The sequence below is a fragment of the Homo sapiens genome, chromosome 17 (assembly GCF_000001405.40).
Source record: "Homo sapiens chromosome 17, GRCh38.p14 Primary Assembly".
Lineage (NCBI taxonomy): Eukaryota > Metazoa > Chordata > Mammalia > Primates > Hominidae > Homo > Homo sapiens.
Genome location: NC_000017.11, coordinates 7428806 through 7444971, shown reverse-complemented (window position 1 = coordinate 7444971; position 16166 = coordinate 7428806). Strand labels below are relative to the sequence as shown.

Genomic DNA, 16166 nt, shown 5'->3' with positions numbered 1-16166 from the left:
GCCAAGCCCGCCACCGACAGATGACAGACAGCACTTCAGTTGTATAAATCGTCTTTAATTGAGAAAGCTGGAGTGGAGACCCGATCCCCTGGGAGCAGTGCCAGGAGTTGGGTGGAGACTGAGTGGGGTTTGTGTGGGTGAGGGGGCATCTACTCCTCTTGCAACAAGCCAGAAGTAGAACAGCCTAAGGAAAAGTGACCTGCCTTGGAGCCTTAGTCCCTCCCTTAGGGCCCCCTCAGCCTACCCTATCCAAGTCTGAGGCTATGGAAGTCTCCCTCCTAGTTCACTAGCAGGTTCCCCATCTTTTCCAGGCTGCCCCTAGCACTCCACGTTTTTCTGAAAAAATCTAGACAGGCCCTTTTTGGGTACCTAAAACCCAGCTGAGGTTGTGAGCTGTAAGGTAAAGCAAGTTCTATCCAATTAGAAGCTGTTGGGGCGTATGAGGTCTGGAGTGCAAGAGGCCTTCACCCTTCTTGGCCTGACCTGTAGGGGAGAAGGGTGAGACTTATTGCTGAATTGGGGTCTCCTCACTGGGAGGGTCAAGGCTGTATCCATTTGTCCTTTTTATTAAGGACATATTACTCTAAGGACCTCAGCTTTAAAGGGGACCTGGAAGGAATTCCTGCTGAGGTAGCTAAGTATTCATGTCCACCCAACACAGATGCAGGTTCAGTCATGCCATAATTTTGACCCCTCCCCCATCCCAGCTTCCCTACTATGAGCCAGGGATCCTTCCAAAATTCCTCTGCCCTTCTCCAGACTCTGTCTCCCTGGCACGACCTCAGCTGGGTTGAAGGAGCTAGAAACTGCATGTAAAAATAAGCTTAGCATTCTATATGGAAGAATCATATTTTTAGAGAATTATCTAGGAAAAACAAGAAATGGTTCTTGATTCATCCAGAAGTGTTTTTATGAATCATAGCTGGGTCTTTTCCAGAACTCATCCGTAATAGGTATCACTCAAGAAGGCGGGAGGGTGGGGCTAGAACTTACTTAGAACAATAATATGGCTATACAGGCCCCAGCTCCATCCTGGGTAAAAGGGCTGAGAGTCATGATCTATGTCCTAGAGCTAGGATTCAGGGGGAAGTACGGCTCCATAAAGCTCTAGAATTGGGTGTCTCTGGGATAAGAAGGTTAAACCCGTGGTCATCTGAGACTGGTTCCGGTTCAGGCCAAAGCCAACAGCTAGACAAGGCCCAAATCTAGCCTCTTTCTACTTGGAAACCAGGGGTCCATCTGAGTCAATGACAGAGGCCTGACAGATCCAGAGAAAAGGCTGGCAGCATGCCTGGGTTCCAGCACAGAGCCCTAGTGCAGAAGTGGCCCTGGCGAGGGTGTCCAGTGTTCCAGAATGTGTCCAGACCAAGGTAGAAGGTAGAGTAGGGAAAGAAGGACACATGAATCCTGAGCTCCAGTGAATCTAGAAATGGCTCAGTGGCAATGAAAAGGGGCACAGGACTCCAGGAACTGGCTGAGCCGGGGTGGGAAGTGTTTATGCCCTGGCTGTCCATGTGGGAACTCCCAGCGCCATCTCAGGAAAAGGCATGGCGTTGTGTGAGTGTGGAAAGAAAGAAGTGATCAGCCAGGACCATCTTCAGACATCCCCCTCTCTGACTCCCTCCTAGGCCCAAAGATCTAAGGGTCTCAGCAGCCTCGGAAGTCACAGTCAGCCCCTAGGCTCCCTCAGGGTAGAGCACCTAGTGGGACCTGGCTGCTCAGGGCATGTGTGTGGCAGCAGGGGTGAGAGCAGGACTGGGAGACAGGTTGTGGTGGTGGCTGGCTCACTGGGAGTGCAGGGAACCTCCAGTCCAGGGACTACATTTCAGGGGGCAGGGGGACTGGAAGGGGAGGCCTCGGGGACACTGTGGAGAGAAGGCTCCTGGTACATGGCCACTGTGAAGGGGAGAAAGAGAGGAGCAGGGAAGGAGAGTTAGGCACAGAGGGACCCAGGCAGAACCAGTGCTCCAAAAGGGCTCCCTTCCCGTACATTCACCCTCCAAGAACCCCAACCCCACAGGAGGACCGCACCCAAACCCCCAAAGGGCAAAGCCTTCCTGGCTTGATCTGTCACAAAGGGTCCTCTTATCACTTGTAGCCTGAGCTGTCTGCCCCTAAATGTCCATATCAAGGTCAATACCCTCTCCTGTGGCCCACATTTTCTTGAGTCTATACCCACCCTCCAGGAGCTTGGGCAGAAAGTGGGCAGCTGCCTTGGTCTTCTTAACTCGGTTTCCCTTCATGACCTGGCCCTCCTTGTCCAGGCCGAGGTACCAGGCCCGGCCAGAACGACGCTGGCGGTAGAGAGCAGAGGCGTACAGGACGTAGTAATTCTCAAAGACACACTCCTTAAAGCGACACTCAGCTGTGAAATGCGGCTAAGGAGACAAAGACCCAGAAAGGCGCACAAAGACAGAGAGATAAAAAGACACATCACTGGGCAGAAAGGAGCTCATGGAAAGCACAAATCCTTTTTGGGGGAGGGGGAGGACAACTTCTGAGTCCATGTAGGACCTGGGAGCAAAGGGAGGACAAGGAAGAGGGCTGAGGGCTAAGAACTAGGCTCTGGGCCAAGCACAGTGGCTCATGCCTATAATCCCAACACTTTGGGAGGCCGAGGCGGGTGGATCACCTGAGGTCAGGAGTTCCAGACCAGCCTGGCCAACATAGCAAGACCCTGTCACTATTTAAAAAAAAAAAAAAGAACTAGACTTTTAGGGGTCTTGCAATAAGATTCCTTCTCTCCACTGTACTCCCAGTCTCTCACTATCCCCTATCCTGGATGACTCTAGGGAAGTGAGTAATGACAAAATCTGGAGGAGGTGGGATAAGAAGTAGGGGCCCTAAAAGGCAGAAAGAGTTGGACATTCAAAGAACCTGGGGCTGTTTTGGGGGTGTGCAAGGAGTGGGGACTGGAGAGACCCTAGAGGAGCTGGTCTGGAATGGGCAGCGATGACAGGCCATCAGCAAAGCTGGAGGGAGGAGTCCCGGGCAAAATGTCTGTAGTTGAGGAAGGTTGTCATTCCCTCAAGGGACAAATTGAGGAAGGGGAGTCCCCAGTATTTCCCGGCCACTCAGCCTCATTGTCTCACCGAACTGTAGAGCAGTCCCTCAGCATTCATGGCCATGTAGTGACCCAGCTTGGCGCTCTGGATGGTGACCACACGGAGGCCCACAGGGATCAGGTTGAAGTGGGCTGCAGGTGGAGAGAGGGAGCATCAATACCCAGGCCTCTGACCCTCACCTGAGCTCCCCTCATCCCAGCTCCACTTTTTCCCTTAGAGGTCAGGAAGACGGATCAATGGCAACAGAAGCTGAAGAGGGAATAGGATTGTCATCTCCTGTCCCCATTCTCCCCCTTCCCACCCTGCAGCCAGCTTCCCCTCTCACTGAAGGAGCTGGTATCCTCTGGGGTGCCCTGGATGCTTCCGTCGGGATTCGCCTGGAGGTAGAAACCCTGGCGGCAGAACAGTTTGGTGACGATGCCTTTGAGCTGAGGCTCTGGAGAGAGAGACATTCATCTTTGAAAATGACATCTCCGTTCCCAGAAACATTCCTACACTTGGCAGGATTAGAGGGAAGAAAGGAGAATGAAAGGAAGGAAGAGGGTCCCAGGGCCCCAGCTCTCTTATCCTCCAAGCACGCTCTCTCCCACCTCTCTTTCACTCCTGGGAAAGCTGGTGTGGGTCCCTTCTGTTTCCTATAACCAGGAGCTTTCAGTGTAATTTATTGAAATTTATTTAAATGGCTTAATTCCTACCCTACAGCTCAACCAGAAGGGGGAAGGAGTGGGGGAGGAGGGAGGGGAGAGATATATCAAAAGGCAGGGACAGAGGGAGACCAGCAGGGGTACTGAAGGGGCAGCGTGTTTGCGAAGGTGGGGGATCTTGGCAGCAGCAAATTGACCACAGGGTAGGGGCTCTCCCTCAGGAGTGGGGGTGGGACTGGGCCTGACGCTGACTCAGCACCTGCTGCGGCTGCCGCTAGCTTGGCGAGAGCCTTGCCTTGGCCCAGCGCCGGCCTGTCTGACACTGACCCATCTGTCTGTCTGTCTGTCTGTCTGTCAGTCCGCTGGCTCCCGGGGGCCCAGTTCTCCCTGAGGCTCAGCCTCTCCCCTTCGGCCAGGTAACTCGCCTGGGGTAAGGGGGACCTTACCAAGGATATGGGGGGTGGGAGCTGAGGAGATGGAGAGGCAGGCTGAGTCACGTGGGGGCCCGGTCCTACTCAGAGGGTGGGCTGCGGATTGTACCACTATGGGCAGCCGGTGGCGCGGGGAGGAGGGCGCGAGGTGGCTACCCTTAGGGGAGCTGGGAGCGGGCGGGAGCAGGGCCAGAGGGACTCCCTGACTGTCGTACATGGACGGGGACCAATTCTAACTCTCACAACTCTCCTCCCCCATCGCTTGCTCTCTGCCGACTTCCCTGTCCCCCCTTGTAGGTGGTACGACCCCCGAGTCGGCGCCCATCTCTAGCCGTGAACTGTGTCTGAGTTCCTGCCAGCGTAGGGTCCCCTGAGCCTACGGGACCCGATTTCGGAGTGGCGCGGGGGTTATGGGAGGGGTGCCCAGCTCCGTTCTTGAAGCGCAGGTCACAGGAGGAGGGCGCATAGAGGGCTGGCTGGCGAGGTAGCTGCAAGGACACCCGAGGGAGAGCTGGGGAGATTGGCTCGGAGCCAGCAGAGCTCGACCAGGAGGAACCGAGCCCAGGCGTGGAGGAGCGGGAGAACCGGGGCAGGCGGGGGCTGGGGGGGGGCGTGCGGCTGGAGCTGCAGAAATCCTTGGGGTGACCCAGGCATCTGGAAACCCCCGGGCCCCTCCGCTCCAGATTGAAAGAATCGCGAGAACCGGCACGTAGGCGGAGGACGATGGGGGTGGGGACTGCTGTGTTGGGAAGGGGGGACGAGCAGGAACTACGAGGCTTTCGGGGCGCCAGGCAGCCCCTCAAGCCTTCCCCTTGACCTCGAAAATAAGGAGACTCCGGGTTATGGACAAAAGAGAAGGGAAACTGAGGCACAGTCTGGCAGGGACTTTGTCGTCCTGGCCCACCCCCTTCCACTTTCGGGGAGCCCCTCAGCCGGGCCCTATTCTTCAGAGTCCCTGGCCTCAATCTCCCAGGCAGAGAAACCTCTGGCCGGGAGACCCCGCCCCAGCCGCACTCACCCGGGCCGCGGTCCGGCCGCGCGGGCCGCCCCCCGCACAGTCGCACCTTGGACAGCAGGATGAGGAGCTGCTTCTGGCAAAGGGACTTGGTGCCGCGGGGACACACGCGCCGCTGCGCCGACACCGGCCGGCTGCCCCCGGGCTCGCGGACCTCCCGCTTCTGCCGGATCAGGCTACTGGCCAGCGCCGCCATAGCGCCCCGGGAGGAGACACCCCCAAACCGGCAGGCGCCCGGAGCGCGCTGGGCTCCCCCAGAGGAGCCCGCTCACTAGGGCATGCTCTTGACGCTCAGGCCCCGACTCGCTGCCCCACCCACAGGACCTGAGGATAAGCCCCAGACCCCCCCCCTCACGTACCCCCCTCCACAGCAGCCAGTTACCACCCGTGGGCCCAGTGCTGGCTCCACCAGATCCAGCAGCCTATGTACTCCTCAGTGGATCCCACCCTCGAGTTTTGCCTCCTATTGAAAACGTCCCCTTTCCCTCCTCTCCAGTGTCTGTCCTCACTTCACCTATCCCAAAGCCAAGACCCACTAAATTTCCAAGACGTGGTTTAAATATCTTCAGGCACCTTTCCACTGTATTTTGGGGCACACTCCTGCCAAATCCACTCTTGTAATCTACAGGGTGTGGGACTTTAGCTTTGGGAATATTCGCTCATCCCACCCCTACTGGGGCACTGCCAATGTCAGGAAGGAACCCAACCTTGGTGTTTTTTCCTTTGCTACACTCTAAATGGAGGGGATCCCCCACTTTTTTCACTGAAATCCCCCCAAAATATGTCTCAGAATATCCAGGTTGCCCAGGTTCAGTAAGACAGGGCTCCCAGACCCTCTGGCTGGATAATACCTTTTTCACCAAGTCCCCCCCATGTCTAGTAGCATAGAATTCTAGCGGCCAAGACCCTTTCTTCACCTTCACACCCTCCGCTCCTTTTGAAGTCACCTCCAAATCCACCCTTCCTAGTGGATACACCAGGTAGTTGACTGGAGGGCCTTCCGCCACCTCAAAATGAGGAGCATCCGTGTTTGTTTTTGTTTTTGTTTTTTTCTCCCCTGGCTGCCCCTTAAATTTTCTTGGGGACAGCTGGTGCTGTTTAGATCCCACGCCCTCCAATCTAACCAGCCCCCCAAGAGAGGAGTGCACCCACGTTGTCACCAGTCCCCAGATGTGAACAGGCCCCCTACAAGTCAGAGCGGATCACAGCTTCCTGCTACAGGGCTTCCTCGTCCTCCCCGGGATTGCCTATAGCACCCCCTCTTCCTTTTCCCGACGCCCCTCAACCTGTCCTGTCCTGTTGATCCGGCGACGGGTGGCGCTGGCTTCGGCTCCAGGCTCCTCCCTCCCTGTCCCCCGCAAACGGAGCTTCCCCCCACGCCCGGCTAGGCGTCCCGGACCCTCGGGAAGGAGTGAGGGTGTCTCTGCAGAGCTCCCCGGTCCGGCGAAGTCAGAGCACTGGGCCGGTGGCTGGACCAGGCAGAGCGGCGGCAGCGGCAGCGGCTGTGGGAAGCTGAGGCGGCGGCGGCGGCGGCGACAGCAGTTCCCCCTCCTCGGAGAGCCGGCCCGGGGGCGGGGCAGGGGGCGGAGACGCTGGGAAATAGGAGGGTGAAGCCGGGCAGGAGGAACCCCGGGGTTCCTTGGAGGTAGAGAGTGCGGACTGTGTCTTACAAGCAGGCAAAGCCGAGGCAAGGCCGCACGTCTCAGCCTTCAGAGGAGGAGGGACAGGAAGGCCTCCTGAACGCACCCCTGGGTAGGAAGGAGAGGTTGGGCCTAAGGGAGATGGAATGGCGGACGCTGGGAGAAGGGAGAGAGACCCTACTGGCCGGGATGTTAGTGAAGAAAGAACCGCACGAGTAAAGTGGGGGAAGAACTGGAGAGATGGAGGATGGGGGGTGGTGAGATCCAGCCTTGGGCGAAATCCGGCCTCCTTCATATCTCTGCCGTTGTGTGAGCCAAATTGATCAGACCCTGGTCTCCATAACTCCTTTTCGCGTTTGGTCAGCAAATATGTTTCTCCCATTTCTATTGGCCCTTAAGAGAAATGACCAAAAGAACTGGGGACAGACGGTTTCTGGAAGCTGCCCCTGGGCGGAGTGCTGGCCACAGATGTGGAGAATAGCGAGGCTGGAATGGGGCAACTTGTGCGGGGGCAGGCGGGTGGGCGTAGAGGAGGAACCAACAGGGAGGTCTTCCAGAAGGGGGGCTTCAGGCCCAGGGCACACAGTCAGTCCCCCTGGCGAGGGGCGAGCAGGGCCCCCCACGTCCCGCTCGCCCACAGAGGCACTTTCCACTGGTAGGAACAGCGTCTTTAATGGGCCCCGCCCCCCACGCCCGCCAAACCGCCCCCCTTGCGGGCCACTTTGGCCTCCTCCACCGCGGCACGGAGGGCCCGGGCCGGGTCCCCGCGGAGCCGGGCCAATTCTCCGAGCAGCGCAGCGGAGTCGTCCCCCGTACGGAGCTGTCGGCCGTTCAGAAAATAGTGAGGCAACGTCCCGGCCTCGAGCACTCGGCCGAGCTCGTCTAGCAGCCCGAGGCAGCAGGCGCCCGCATTTTCTGGCCGCGCCAGGTAGAGCGCAGGCAGCCGCTCGCACGCCCAGTACAGCAGCGTCCGCAGGAGGTAGGGCGCCGCCGCCCGGGTCCCGGCCACCAGCGGGCGCAGTAGCGCCTGGGCCGCCGCGTGCGCCTGCAGCAGCGGCGCTGGTATGCGCGCTTTGAGCGCCAGCTCCTGGCGGGCAAAACAGAGCTGCCAGGCGGAGGCGCACGGCCGCTCGGTGCCGCCACCGGGCACCAGGTAGAAGGAAGCCGACTCAGAGGCCAGCGGACCGGCCCACGAGTGGCTCCGAGCCCCCTCGGGCCAGCCCGCCACGGACACCACTGGGATCAGGTCGAAGAGCAGGAGGCGGCGAGGGGGCTCAGGGGTAGCCAGGAGGACGGTGGTGAAACCCGCGTGGCGAGCTGCGTGCACCAGACGCGGAGCACCCGGGACAGGGATCAGAGACTCGGCGACCGCCGCCAGCGTAGCAAAGAACCAGGCAGCCACCTGGGCGGAACATAATGTGGGCCACGCTTCCCGAGCCTCCGACGGCTTTGGGACTGGGCTTTCGACGGCTGCCTTGGTGACGTCACTACTCATTGTTTTCAAAGGTGCGGTAGAGCCAAGGTCGACGACGTCATGCTGAGGCGACTCGGACGCTGAAACGTCACTAGGCGATTTTTCCAAAGACACCGGCGCCTCGTGCTCAGTGACGTAGCTGTGCGGCTGGTCTACAGAGCTTTGCCAGTCCTTGGAACTTTCTTCGCTCTCCGTTCGGTGGATCGAATCACGTGCTCCTGGGACTGGGGGTCCTAAGCAATCCTGCCACATCTCCCGGATGGGGGTTCCGCACACCATCTCTGGGAGGCAGACCTGTGCGTAACAGGATTCCAGGTCCAGTTGCAGTTCAGTGCCGTCCAGTGAAAACATGGGCACTAGGAGTGTGAAGCCGGCATCGTAGTGAGGTCCCCGGGCGTAGGGACCCAGGGGTGCATGCCCCAGATCCAGGGAGCCCTCGCGAATCCCACCACGAAGCAGCAAGAGCTCTGCCTGGGGAGGAAAGCGAGGGTCCCGGCGGTGAACTAGACCTAAAAAAAGGGAACGGATCGTGAGGGCGTCGCCCAAAGCCGGGGCGGGGGCGGGGGCGTGGTGAGGCTGAGAGCTGTGAGTTCCCAAAGGCAAGTAGGGTTACTTACCAAGCAAAGAGAAGACAAAGTCCTTGGCCCGGAGGAGATCGGCTCCCGGCTTGGGCCCGTCACTCCAGCTCTCCTGCACACCCAGCTCCTGGATCAGCTGGGTCAATTCCTGCAGCTGCGCCCCGGAGCAGAAGTCGATGTCCGTGAGCGGCCGAGCTGGGGCCGGGGGCGGCGGGCCCCACCAGGGGGCACTCCCCCAGACTGCGGAAGCCATGCGGTTCTATCGCTTTGGGCTGCGGAAAACACGGAAGGGAGGTGGCTTTGCTGCCACAAAGTCGTCCCCGTTCTTCCCTCTTCCTGAGGCCGAGCGAGTGCCCCAGACACAACCTACAAATGGGTCTGTAGATGATGGGTTCTAAATTTAGTCCTCAAAATGAACAAATAAATACCTCTTCTATCCTGGCCCTTTTCTCATAGGCAGGTCCCCGCCCCCATGAACTGGTTCACCGGACTCAGCAGGTAAAAAGTAACTGTTGGCTCCTCCTACGGAATGCAGTAGCCAGCCTCCGCTGCCGCCCCTTGTCTACCTCCCTTTACCTCTTTTTTGGAAGAGGCTTATTAGTCTGCGGCTTCCCCCTTATGGGAAGCAGTAAGGGTGGGGAGCAGAAATAGATTCAACAGGTTACTTCTTCCTGATGCCCACGTGGCCACGCCCCTACATTTTCAGCCACGCCCCTTTCTGGAGGCTGTCGAGGTGGTTTCCGCCGGGTCGGGTCGCCAGTCAGAGCTCAATCACTCTTTTGGCCCTGCTGAAATCCCGCGTTATCCTGGGAGTTGTAGTTTCCCGCTCTACTAGGGCGTGGTAGCCACGCCCCCACATCCTTTCCTGTTCCGCTGAAGTAGTGCCTGATGGAAGTTGTAGTTCCTCTGGAGACAGATTATTCTGTGTCTTTTCACACCCATATCAACCCCACTCAAACATTCCTTGGGGTTTGAGAGGGGTAATAGGATGGCTCTGAGTCGCAAAAAATAATGAGGGATGGGCCGGGCGCGGTGGCTCCCGCCTGTAACCCCAGCACTTTGGGAGACTGAGGCGGGTGAATCACCTGAGGTCAGGAGTTCAAGGCCAGCCTGGCCAACATTGCGAAACCCTGTCTCTACTAAAAATACAAAAATTAGCCGGGCGTGGTGGCAGACGCCTGTAATCCCAGCTACTTAGGAGGCTGAGGCAGGAGAATCACTTGAACCTAGGAGGGAAAGGGTGCAGTGAGCTGAGATTGTGCCATTGCACTCCAGCCTGGGTGATAAGAGCGAAACTCCACCCTAGGGCCTGGGGAGAGATAGGGACCCCTGCCTGGGTGGGGTGGGGGGGGTGCATCTTGGAATCCCAAAAGTGGTAGTGTTAGGCAGGAGCACACAGATGGTGACCCAGAAATGGACGTTTGACTCATAGGAGAGACATACATGTTAGTGATGCCCACCTCAGCTCACTGCTACCTGAGTCGTGGCAGGGAAAACACTTTGGGATCTCAAATTTTTGTTTTGTTTTGTTTTGTTTTTGAGACTGAGTCTCGCACTGTTGCCCAGACTGGAGTGCTGTGGCGCAATCTCCGCTCACTGCAACCTCCACCTCCCGGGTTCAAGCAGTTCTCCTGCCTCAGCCTCCCGAGAAGCTGGGATTACGGCGCCTGCCACCATACCTGGCTAATTTTTTGTATTTTTAGTAGAGACAGGGTTTCACCATGTTGGCCAGGCTGGTCTTGAACTCCTGACCTCAGGTGATCCTCCCACCTCGGCCTCCCAAAGTGTTGGGATTATAGGCACGCGCCACTGCACCCGGCCTGGGCCACGACTTCTTACATTCCTTCTGCCCTTGGTCTGTCTCCAGGACGGGATAGGCCTAAGTCCATGGATAAGATAATTAAGGAGGACATCTAGGAAAATTAGAGGCCTGTAAAAGAAGAGACTCCCCAACTGTAGAGATCAATTTGGCAAGCCCAGGACTCAGGGGTTCCTCGTCACTGACAGAGAGTTTTCTCCTTCAGCAACCAGAGCTGGGGTCCCTGGGAGAAGCGAGAGCACCAAAGCAGCCCAGAACTGCGCAAGTAGGTTCCCGTACACACACATCTGGCTGTGACCCAAGAGGCCAGATCAGGAGAACTGGAGACTGGGCTGTTTCTCACAGTCTGGAGTAACCAGGCATCAGACATCCCTGCATCTCACCTCCTTCCCAGAGGGTGGCTTCCGAGGCACTCTAAAAAGAACTAAGTTCTCTGGACTCTGTGGAAGCTTTGAAGATGTTAAGAATGGGTGACAAGGAATAGTTCCTCTAAACTCTAAAGCATGGCTCTCCAATATAATTTTCTGTGACGATAGCAATGTCCTGAGTTGGTCCTGTCTGATACAGTAGCCACCAGCAGCCACCTGTGGCTGTTGAGCACTTGAAATGTAGATAATGTGGCCAGGCGCCCTGGCTCACGCCTGTAATCCCAACACTTTGGGAGGCCGAGGCGGGTGGATCACTTGAGGTCAGGAGTTCGAGACTAGCCTGGCCAACATGGTGAAACCCCATCTCTACTAAAAAGACAAAAATTAGCTGGGCGTGGTGGTGCACGCATGTAATCCCAGCTACTCAGGAGGCTGAGGCAGGAGAATCGCTTGCTTGAACCTGGGAGGCAGAGGTTGCAGTGAGCCGAGATCGCGCCATTGCACTCCAGCCTGGGTGACAGAGCGAGACTCTGTCTCAAAAAAAAGAAAAAAAGAAAAAGAAAAAAAGAAAATGTAAATTAAAATTAAACAAAATTTAAAAATGTGTTCCGCAGTAACATCTACTTTTTTTTTTTTTTTTTTTTTTGAGACAGAGTCTTGCTGTGTCACCGAGGCTGGAGTGCAATGGTGCGATCTCGGCTCACCACAACTTCCGCCTCCCAGGTTCAAGTGATTCTCCCTGCCTCAGCCTCCCGAATAGCTGGGATTACATGCGTGTACCACCATGCCCGGCTAATTTTTGTATTTTTATAGAGACGGGGTTTCACCATGTTGGCCAGGCTGGTCTCGAACTCCTGACCTCAGGTGATCCGCCCACCTCGGCCTCCCAAAGTGCTGGGATTACAGGTGTAAGCCACTGCACCAGGCCTAATATACATTTTAATAGCCACATTTGGCTAATGGCTAGTGTATGGGACAGAGGAGCTCTAGGGCCTTGAGGATAATGGGCTTAGCTATGCAGCTATGGAGGAGAAACAGGGACCTGTCCTCAGTGGCTTTGTGGGTGGCCAGTATCGGGGATGGGCTGGGGTGGATGTCCTCAAACAAACACAGAACATTTCTCTCGCCTCTTTATTCCTGATGCACTTTTGTCCCCTCTTTGTCCAAGGTTCTCATCACATTCTGATATCCCCACTCCTTGATGGTTTCCCCGAGTTGCTGGGTGCCTCTTGATGAAGGCGCCTAGGAGACAGAGCTTCACACTTGTCCTTGCCCACTGCCAACCGTCTCTGACGGGCATCAAAAACCACATGCCCTGCCTGGGTGCCTGGTCCAGGGCAGTGGGACTTCCAGTTGATATGGGTAGGCATAGACATCTGACGATAGTTCTGGTAGCCTGAAGGAACTGTATCCACAGGGCGGTACGCCCCGTGCTGGCTGCCTGCCCGCCAGGAGGATGACTGCAGCTCAATTAATACAGGTACCTCTGAGAAGGTCTGCAGGTCATTGGAGACCACTTGGGCCTTGGAAGGGCAGGAGTTCTCATTGAGTTGGACACGAGCCCAGAGGACGTGCCGCTGTGCGTCCTCCTTCTGAGCAGCCTTCTCAGGCACAGATGACTTCATCAGGGACAGTGTGGACTTTGGGGTCTGAAGCAGGGACAAAAGCTGGACAAAATCAGAACCTAGGGCAGGGCTTGGGTTCTTGTAGAGGCTGGGATCTGGGATGAGGCATGAGCTCTTGTAGGGGCCAGATTCCTGGGTAAGGCCTGAAATCTTGGGGAGGCCAGAGTCTTGGACAAGGGCTGGGTCTTTATGGGGGCCAGGATCTTGATTAATTCCTGGGCACTTGTGGAGATTAGAGTCTTGGCTATGTTCTGAGCTCCTGTAAACTCCAACATCTTGGGGAAGGCTAAATCTTCTTTCAACTTTAGTGGCTTGGGTAAGGCTTGGGAGGTTGGAATCTTGAGTAAGGCCTTTAACTTTGTGGCCACCACAATCTTGGATAAGTCCTGGATTCTTGTAGTCTCCTGAGTTTTGGGTAAGGCCTGAGCACTTTGGGAGGCCAGAGGTTTGGACAAGGCCTGGGCTCTTGTGGAGAAAAGATTCCTGGATAACTCCTGAGCTCTTATTGACTTCAGAGTCTTGGGGAACATACGGACCCTTCTGTGATCCAGAATCTTCAGTAAGGCCTGCGGTACTACAGACTCCTGGATCTTGGACATTGCCTGTATTCTTGTGACCTCCAGAATCTTTAGAAGAGCCTAGGTTCTTTTGGTGGTCAGTTGCTTGGGAGAGATCTTGATTTTTGTAGATCACAGTCTCTTGGTTTGGTTCAAGATTCCTATAGATTCCAGAGTCTTGTGTAAAGCCTGAGCTCCTCTGAAGATCAGAAGTTTGGGTAAATGGTGTTTTCTTGTGGAGGCCAGGGGATTGGGTGAGACATGGGCTCCTAAGGATACCAGCTTCTTGAGTCAGACCTGTGTTCTTTTGGGGGTGGGAATCTTGAGTAATGCCTGAATTCTTGTGAAGACCAAAGTCTTGAGAAGGGCTTGGATTCTGGCAGAGATAAGAATCTTGGGGAAGGCCTGGGAACTCATGTAGGCCTTGATTTGGAGCAAGACCTGGGTTCTCGTGGAGGCCTGGATCTTGGGTAAGGCCTGGGTTCTTGTAGAGGTCTGGGTTTTGGGCAAGGTCCAGATTCCTGGGAACTCTGGAGTCTTTTGAAGGGCCTGGGGTCCTTTGAAGGCCAGAATCTTGGGTAAGGCCTAGACTCTCATGACATTCAGGGCATTGGGGTTGGATCAGGGGTTGGGAAATGGTGGCGAACAGGGAAGGGATGGGGAATTGGGAAGTGAGGATGGACTGAGGAGACTTGGAGGTTGGAAGAACAGTAGGGGTTTGTATTAAGGTGGAAGGCCTCTGATGGTTGGTGGGTTGAGGAGGGACAAAGGATCTGGGAGGAACGAGAGGCAGGGAAAGAGTGAACGGTGGAGGAAGGGTGCACACTGAGCTCTGGGCAGTGGTTGCAGAATGAAAGCAAGTCTTGGCACATGCAGTATCCCGGGAGTAGGCAAGGAATTTGGGGTAGAATGGAGCCTGGGAGTCTGTGTTCTTCTCAGAACTGCAAGGATGGAAGCTGCAGTAAGGGGAAGTCTTGGTCTGGGGGAACTTATCTTTGGCATCATCTGAGTTCTTCCATTCCATATTCCTCAACTCCAGGTAGCCCAGTATGGATCCTGCAGGAAGCTTGGCACTATCCCCACTGCATTGCTTTGTTTGCTCAGATATGCCAGAACTCACCAGGTCCTGACCCTCTTGGGGCCTGAAGAGGGTAGCCAAGTCTTTTCTTGAATACTCAGGGTTCTGGGGGCTGGACATATGGAAGAAATTCTGCTTTTCCCTGCGGGCATCATAGACCACATGGCCAGTGGAGAGGTCATGGCTGAAGGCAGGTGGGGTAGAGGGTATAGGAGTTATGATAGGGGCAGGGGTGGTGGCAGGGACAGGATCAGGGACAGGAGTGGTAGTCAGGGCCATGACCAGTGCTGGAGCAGGGCTGGGGGCAGAGGCTGGGACAGGGGCTGGTGTTGGAGCTAGGACAGGAGTAGTGGCTGGGGCAAGAGTTCCGGGAGGAGCTGGGGCAGAGGTTGGGACAGGAACGGAGCTGCGGACTAGATGAGAGTGGTCTGGGATATACGCTGGGGCATGGGCTGAGGTGTACTCAGGGGCATGGGCCTGGGGGTGGGCTGGGACAGGCATAGGAGCCTGGGCTGGGGAGTGGGCTGAGGTGTGTTCAGGGCTGTGGGCCTGGGAGTGAGTATACTCAGGGGTGTGGGGCGGAGAGTGGGTTTGGGCCTGGGCTGACGTATGGGCTTTAGTGTGAGCTGAGGCCTTGGCCGGTGTAGGGGCTGGGGTGTGAGCTTGGATGTGGGCTGGCGTCTGAGCTGGGGTAGGGGCTGAGGTGTGGGCTTGGGCCTGGGCTGAGGTGTCCTGGGCCTGGGAGTGGGTGCCCTCAGGGGTGCGGGCTTTGGAGTGGGTCCAGGAGTGGGCAGGGGTGTGCACAGCGGTGTGGTCCGTGGAGCGGGTCCAGGGGTGGGTTGGGGTGCACACAGGAGTGTGGGTTGGGGAGTGGACCTGGGCCTGAGCTGGGGCCTCGGCTGGGGCACAGTCTGGGGTCTTAGTCTTGCTCTCTTGGGGCAGGTGGCATGGACCCGTGTCCAACTTGCTCATCTTTGGGAACTGGGAAGATGTCTCTGGCCTGGAGAGCAAGGAGGCTTGAGCCTTTGAGGCTGTGACCTGAGGGGCTTCTCCCCCGCCCATCATCCCCGCCTTGTACAGTCCCCGTGCAGACTCCCTGGGAACGCCGGCATGTCCACATTTAGGGGGCACGCAGCAGCACGCAGAAACCTTCTCATCGTTCGTGTCTGGTATCCAGGAGTCAAGGTGGTTAACGCGCCTGAGCAGGAAGCCTGGGCGAGGATGGACGCGGGAAGAGACTTTTGAGCACAGGTTCTTGGGATCCACGGAGGAGCAAATACATATGGGATGGCTGCCGCTGGGCTGCTTGTCTGCAGGGAGAGGTAGGATGGGGACAATGCCCGGGTTCCCTAGGGACTAAGAACTGGGCCAGGGATAGGAGAAAGGGGACAGGCCCATATCCCTGGGAGCCCATACAGGGGCCCACTCACCTTTGGGGAAAAAATGACGGAAAAGAATCCGCAAGGAGCTCTTCAGATGCTTCCAGAGCTGAAGGGAGTGGGAGGGCAGGTGAGTCCGGAAGCAGGGTGAGCCCCTAAGTCCAACTCTTATCTGGCCACACCCCAACAGCCCTCCCACCTCAGCCCCTTCAAGACCCCAGGGCTCCCCCAACCCTGCTACCCAGATCCTGCCCTGACCAGAGTCACCACATTGATCCACACGTTGAGCAAGATGAAGCTGCCCAGAAGAAGAAGAATCGAGTCTCCTAAGTCCTGGCACTTCCTGGGGTTGGTGCCAGAGCACACCTGGGCCCCATGATAGGCTCGCTCACCCATGGCCTGGGGTCCCAGGACTGCCTAGGCCCCCGGCCCTCACACAGTCACTAGGAGCAAGACTCCTGTTGTTGGGGAGGGGGTGGACTGAGTCATAATG

General features: G+C 56.8%; 3 protein-coding genes across 7 annotated transcripts, besides 10 other annotated features; all 3 read right to left on the bottom strand.

The window, feature by feature from the left end:
* Positions 35-6674, bottom strand: FGF11 (fibroblast growth factor 11). Of its 3 annotated transcripts, none has more exons than NR_130156.2 (5): positions 6442-6674; positions 3391-3501; positions 3093-3196; positions 2180-2378; positions 35-1896 (listed from the first exon to the last, which is right to left on the bottom strand). NR_130156.2 is itself a non-coding variant. In NM_004112.4 (5 exons), the coding sequence occupies exons 1-5, from the start codon at positions 5349-5351 to the stop codon at positions 1826-1828; spliced, it is 678 nt and encodes a 225-aa protein (NP_004103.1). In that variant the 5' UTR covers positions 5352-5460; the 3' UTR covers positions 35-1825. The 3 variants fall into 3 exon arrangements, 2 of the variants coding, with proteins under 2 accessions (NP_004103.1, NP_001290389.1); NM_004112.4 differs by lacking the exon at positions 6442-6674 and adding an exon at positions 5159-5460; NM_001303460.2 differs by lacking the exon at positions 6442-6674 and adding an exon at positions 4156-4204 and having other exon boundaries at positions 3391-3521.
* Positions 4239-4348: a silencer, noted in NCBI's record as "silent region_8120". NCBI's record gives its function as "represses an Ori minimal core promoter by ATAC-STARR-seq in GM12878 lymphoblastoid cells {active_cell/tissue: GM12878}" and the evidence as "EXISTENCE:reporter gene assay evidence [ECO:0000049][PMID:35858748]".
* Positions 5117-5650: an enhancer, noted in NCBI's record as "H3K4me1 hESC enhancer chr17:7342641-7343174 (GRCh37/hg19 assembly coordinates)". NCBI's record gives its function as "activates a minimal SCP1, AML or CMV promoter by ChIP-STARR-seq in naive H9 embryonic stem cells {active_cell/tissue: H9 hESC(naive)}" and the evidence as "EXISTENCE:reporter gene assay evidence [ECO:0000049][PMID:30033119]".
* Positions 5259-5358: a silencer, noted in NCBI's record as "silent region_8119". NCBI's record gives its function as "represses an Ori minimal core promoter by ATAC-STARR-seq in GM12878 lymphoblastoid cells {active_cell/tissue: GM12878}" and the evidence as "EXISTENCE:reporter gene assay evidence [ECO:0000049][PMID:35858748]".
* Positions 5904-6812: an enhancer, noted in NCBI's record as "H3K4me1 hESC enhancer chr17:7341479-7342387 (GRCh37/hg19 assembly coordinates)". NCBI's record gives its function as "activates a minimal SCP1, AML or CMV promoter by ChIP-STARR-seq in primed H9 embryonic stem cells {active_cell/tissue: H9 hESC(primed)}" and the evidence as "EXISTENCE:reporter gene assay evidence [ECO:0000049][PMID:30033119]".
* Positions 6637-6736: a silencer, noted in NCBI's record as "silent region_8118". NCBI's record gives its function as "represses an Ori minimal core promoter by ATAC-STARR-seq in GM12878 lymphoblastoid cells {active_cell/tissue: GM12878}" and the evidence as "EXISTENCE:reporter gene assay evidence [ECO:0000049][PMID:35858748]".
* Positions 6827-6926: an enhancer, noted in NCBI's record as "active region_11620". NCBI's record gives its function as "activates an Ori minimal core promoter by ATAC-STARR-seq in GM12878 lymphoblastoid cells {active_cell/tissue: GM12878}" and the evidence as "EXISTENCE:reporter gene assay evidence [ECO:0000049][PMID:35858748]".
* TMEM102 (transmembrane protein 102) lies at positions 7293-9537 on the bottom strand. Of its 2 annotated transcripts, NM_178518.3 has the most exons (3): positions 9276-9537; positions 8887-9119; positions 7293-8778 (listed from the first exon to the last, which is right to left on the bottom strand). In NM_178518.3, exons 2-3 carry the CDS (start codon positions 9098-9100, stop codon positions 7466-7468), a joined length of 1527 nt encoding a protein of 508 aa, NP_848613.1. In that variant the 5' UTR covers positions 9101-9119; positions 9276-9537; the 3' UTR covers positions 7293-7465. The 2 variants fall into 2 exon arrangements, with proteins under 2 accessions (NP_848613.1, NP_001307373.1); NM_001320444.1 differs by having other exon boundaries at positions 8887-9499.
* Positions 7708-7987: a silencer, noted in NCBI's record as "silent region_8117". NCBI's record gives its function as "represses an Ori minimal core promoter by ATAC-STARR-seq in GM12878 lymphoblastoid cells {active_cell/tissue: GM12878}" and the evidence as "EXISTENCE:reporter gene assay evidence [ECO:0000049][PMID:35858748]".
* Positions 7708-8632: a biological region, named in NCBI's record as "H3K27ac-H3K4me1 hESC enhancer GRCh37_chr17:7339659-7340568".
* Positions 7723-8632: an enhancer, noted in NCBI's record as "H3K27ac-H3K4me1 hESC enhancer chr17:7339659-7340568 (GRCh37/hg19 assembly coordinates)". NCBI's record gives its function as "activates a minimal SCP1, AML or CMV promoter by ChIP-STARR-seq in naive H9 embryonic stem cells {active_cell/tissue: H9 hESC(naive)}" and the evidence as "EXISTENCE:reporter gene assay evidence [ECO:0000049][PMID:30033119]".
* Positions 9684-9853: an enhancer, noted in NCBI's record as "active region_11619". NCBI's record gives its function as "activates an Ori minimal core promoter by ATAC-STARR-seq in GM12878 lymphoblastoid cells {active_cell/tissue: GM12878}" and the evidence as "EXISTENCE:reporter gene assay evidence [ECO:0000049][PMID:35858748]".
* On the bottom strand, positions 12152-16115 carry SPEM3 (SPEM family member 3). 2 transcript variants are annotated; one of them, NM_001364708.1, is made up of 3 exons: positions 15932-16115; positions 15725-15782; positions 12152-15604 (listed from the first exon to the last, which is right to left on the bottom strand). In NM_001364708.1, exons 1-3 carry the CDS (start codon positions 16067-16069, stop codon positions 12210-12212), a joined length of 3591 nt encoding a protein of 1196 aa, NP_001351637.1. In that variant the 5' UTR covers positions 16070-16115; the 3' UTR covers positions 12152-12209. The 2 variants fall into 2 exon arrangements, with proteins under 2 accessions (NP_001351637.1, NP_001351601.1); NM_001364672.1 differs by having other exon boundaries at positions 12152-15505.
* Between the last annotated feature and the right edge of the window lie 51 nt (positions 16116-16166).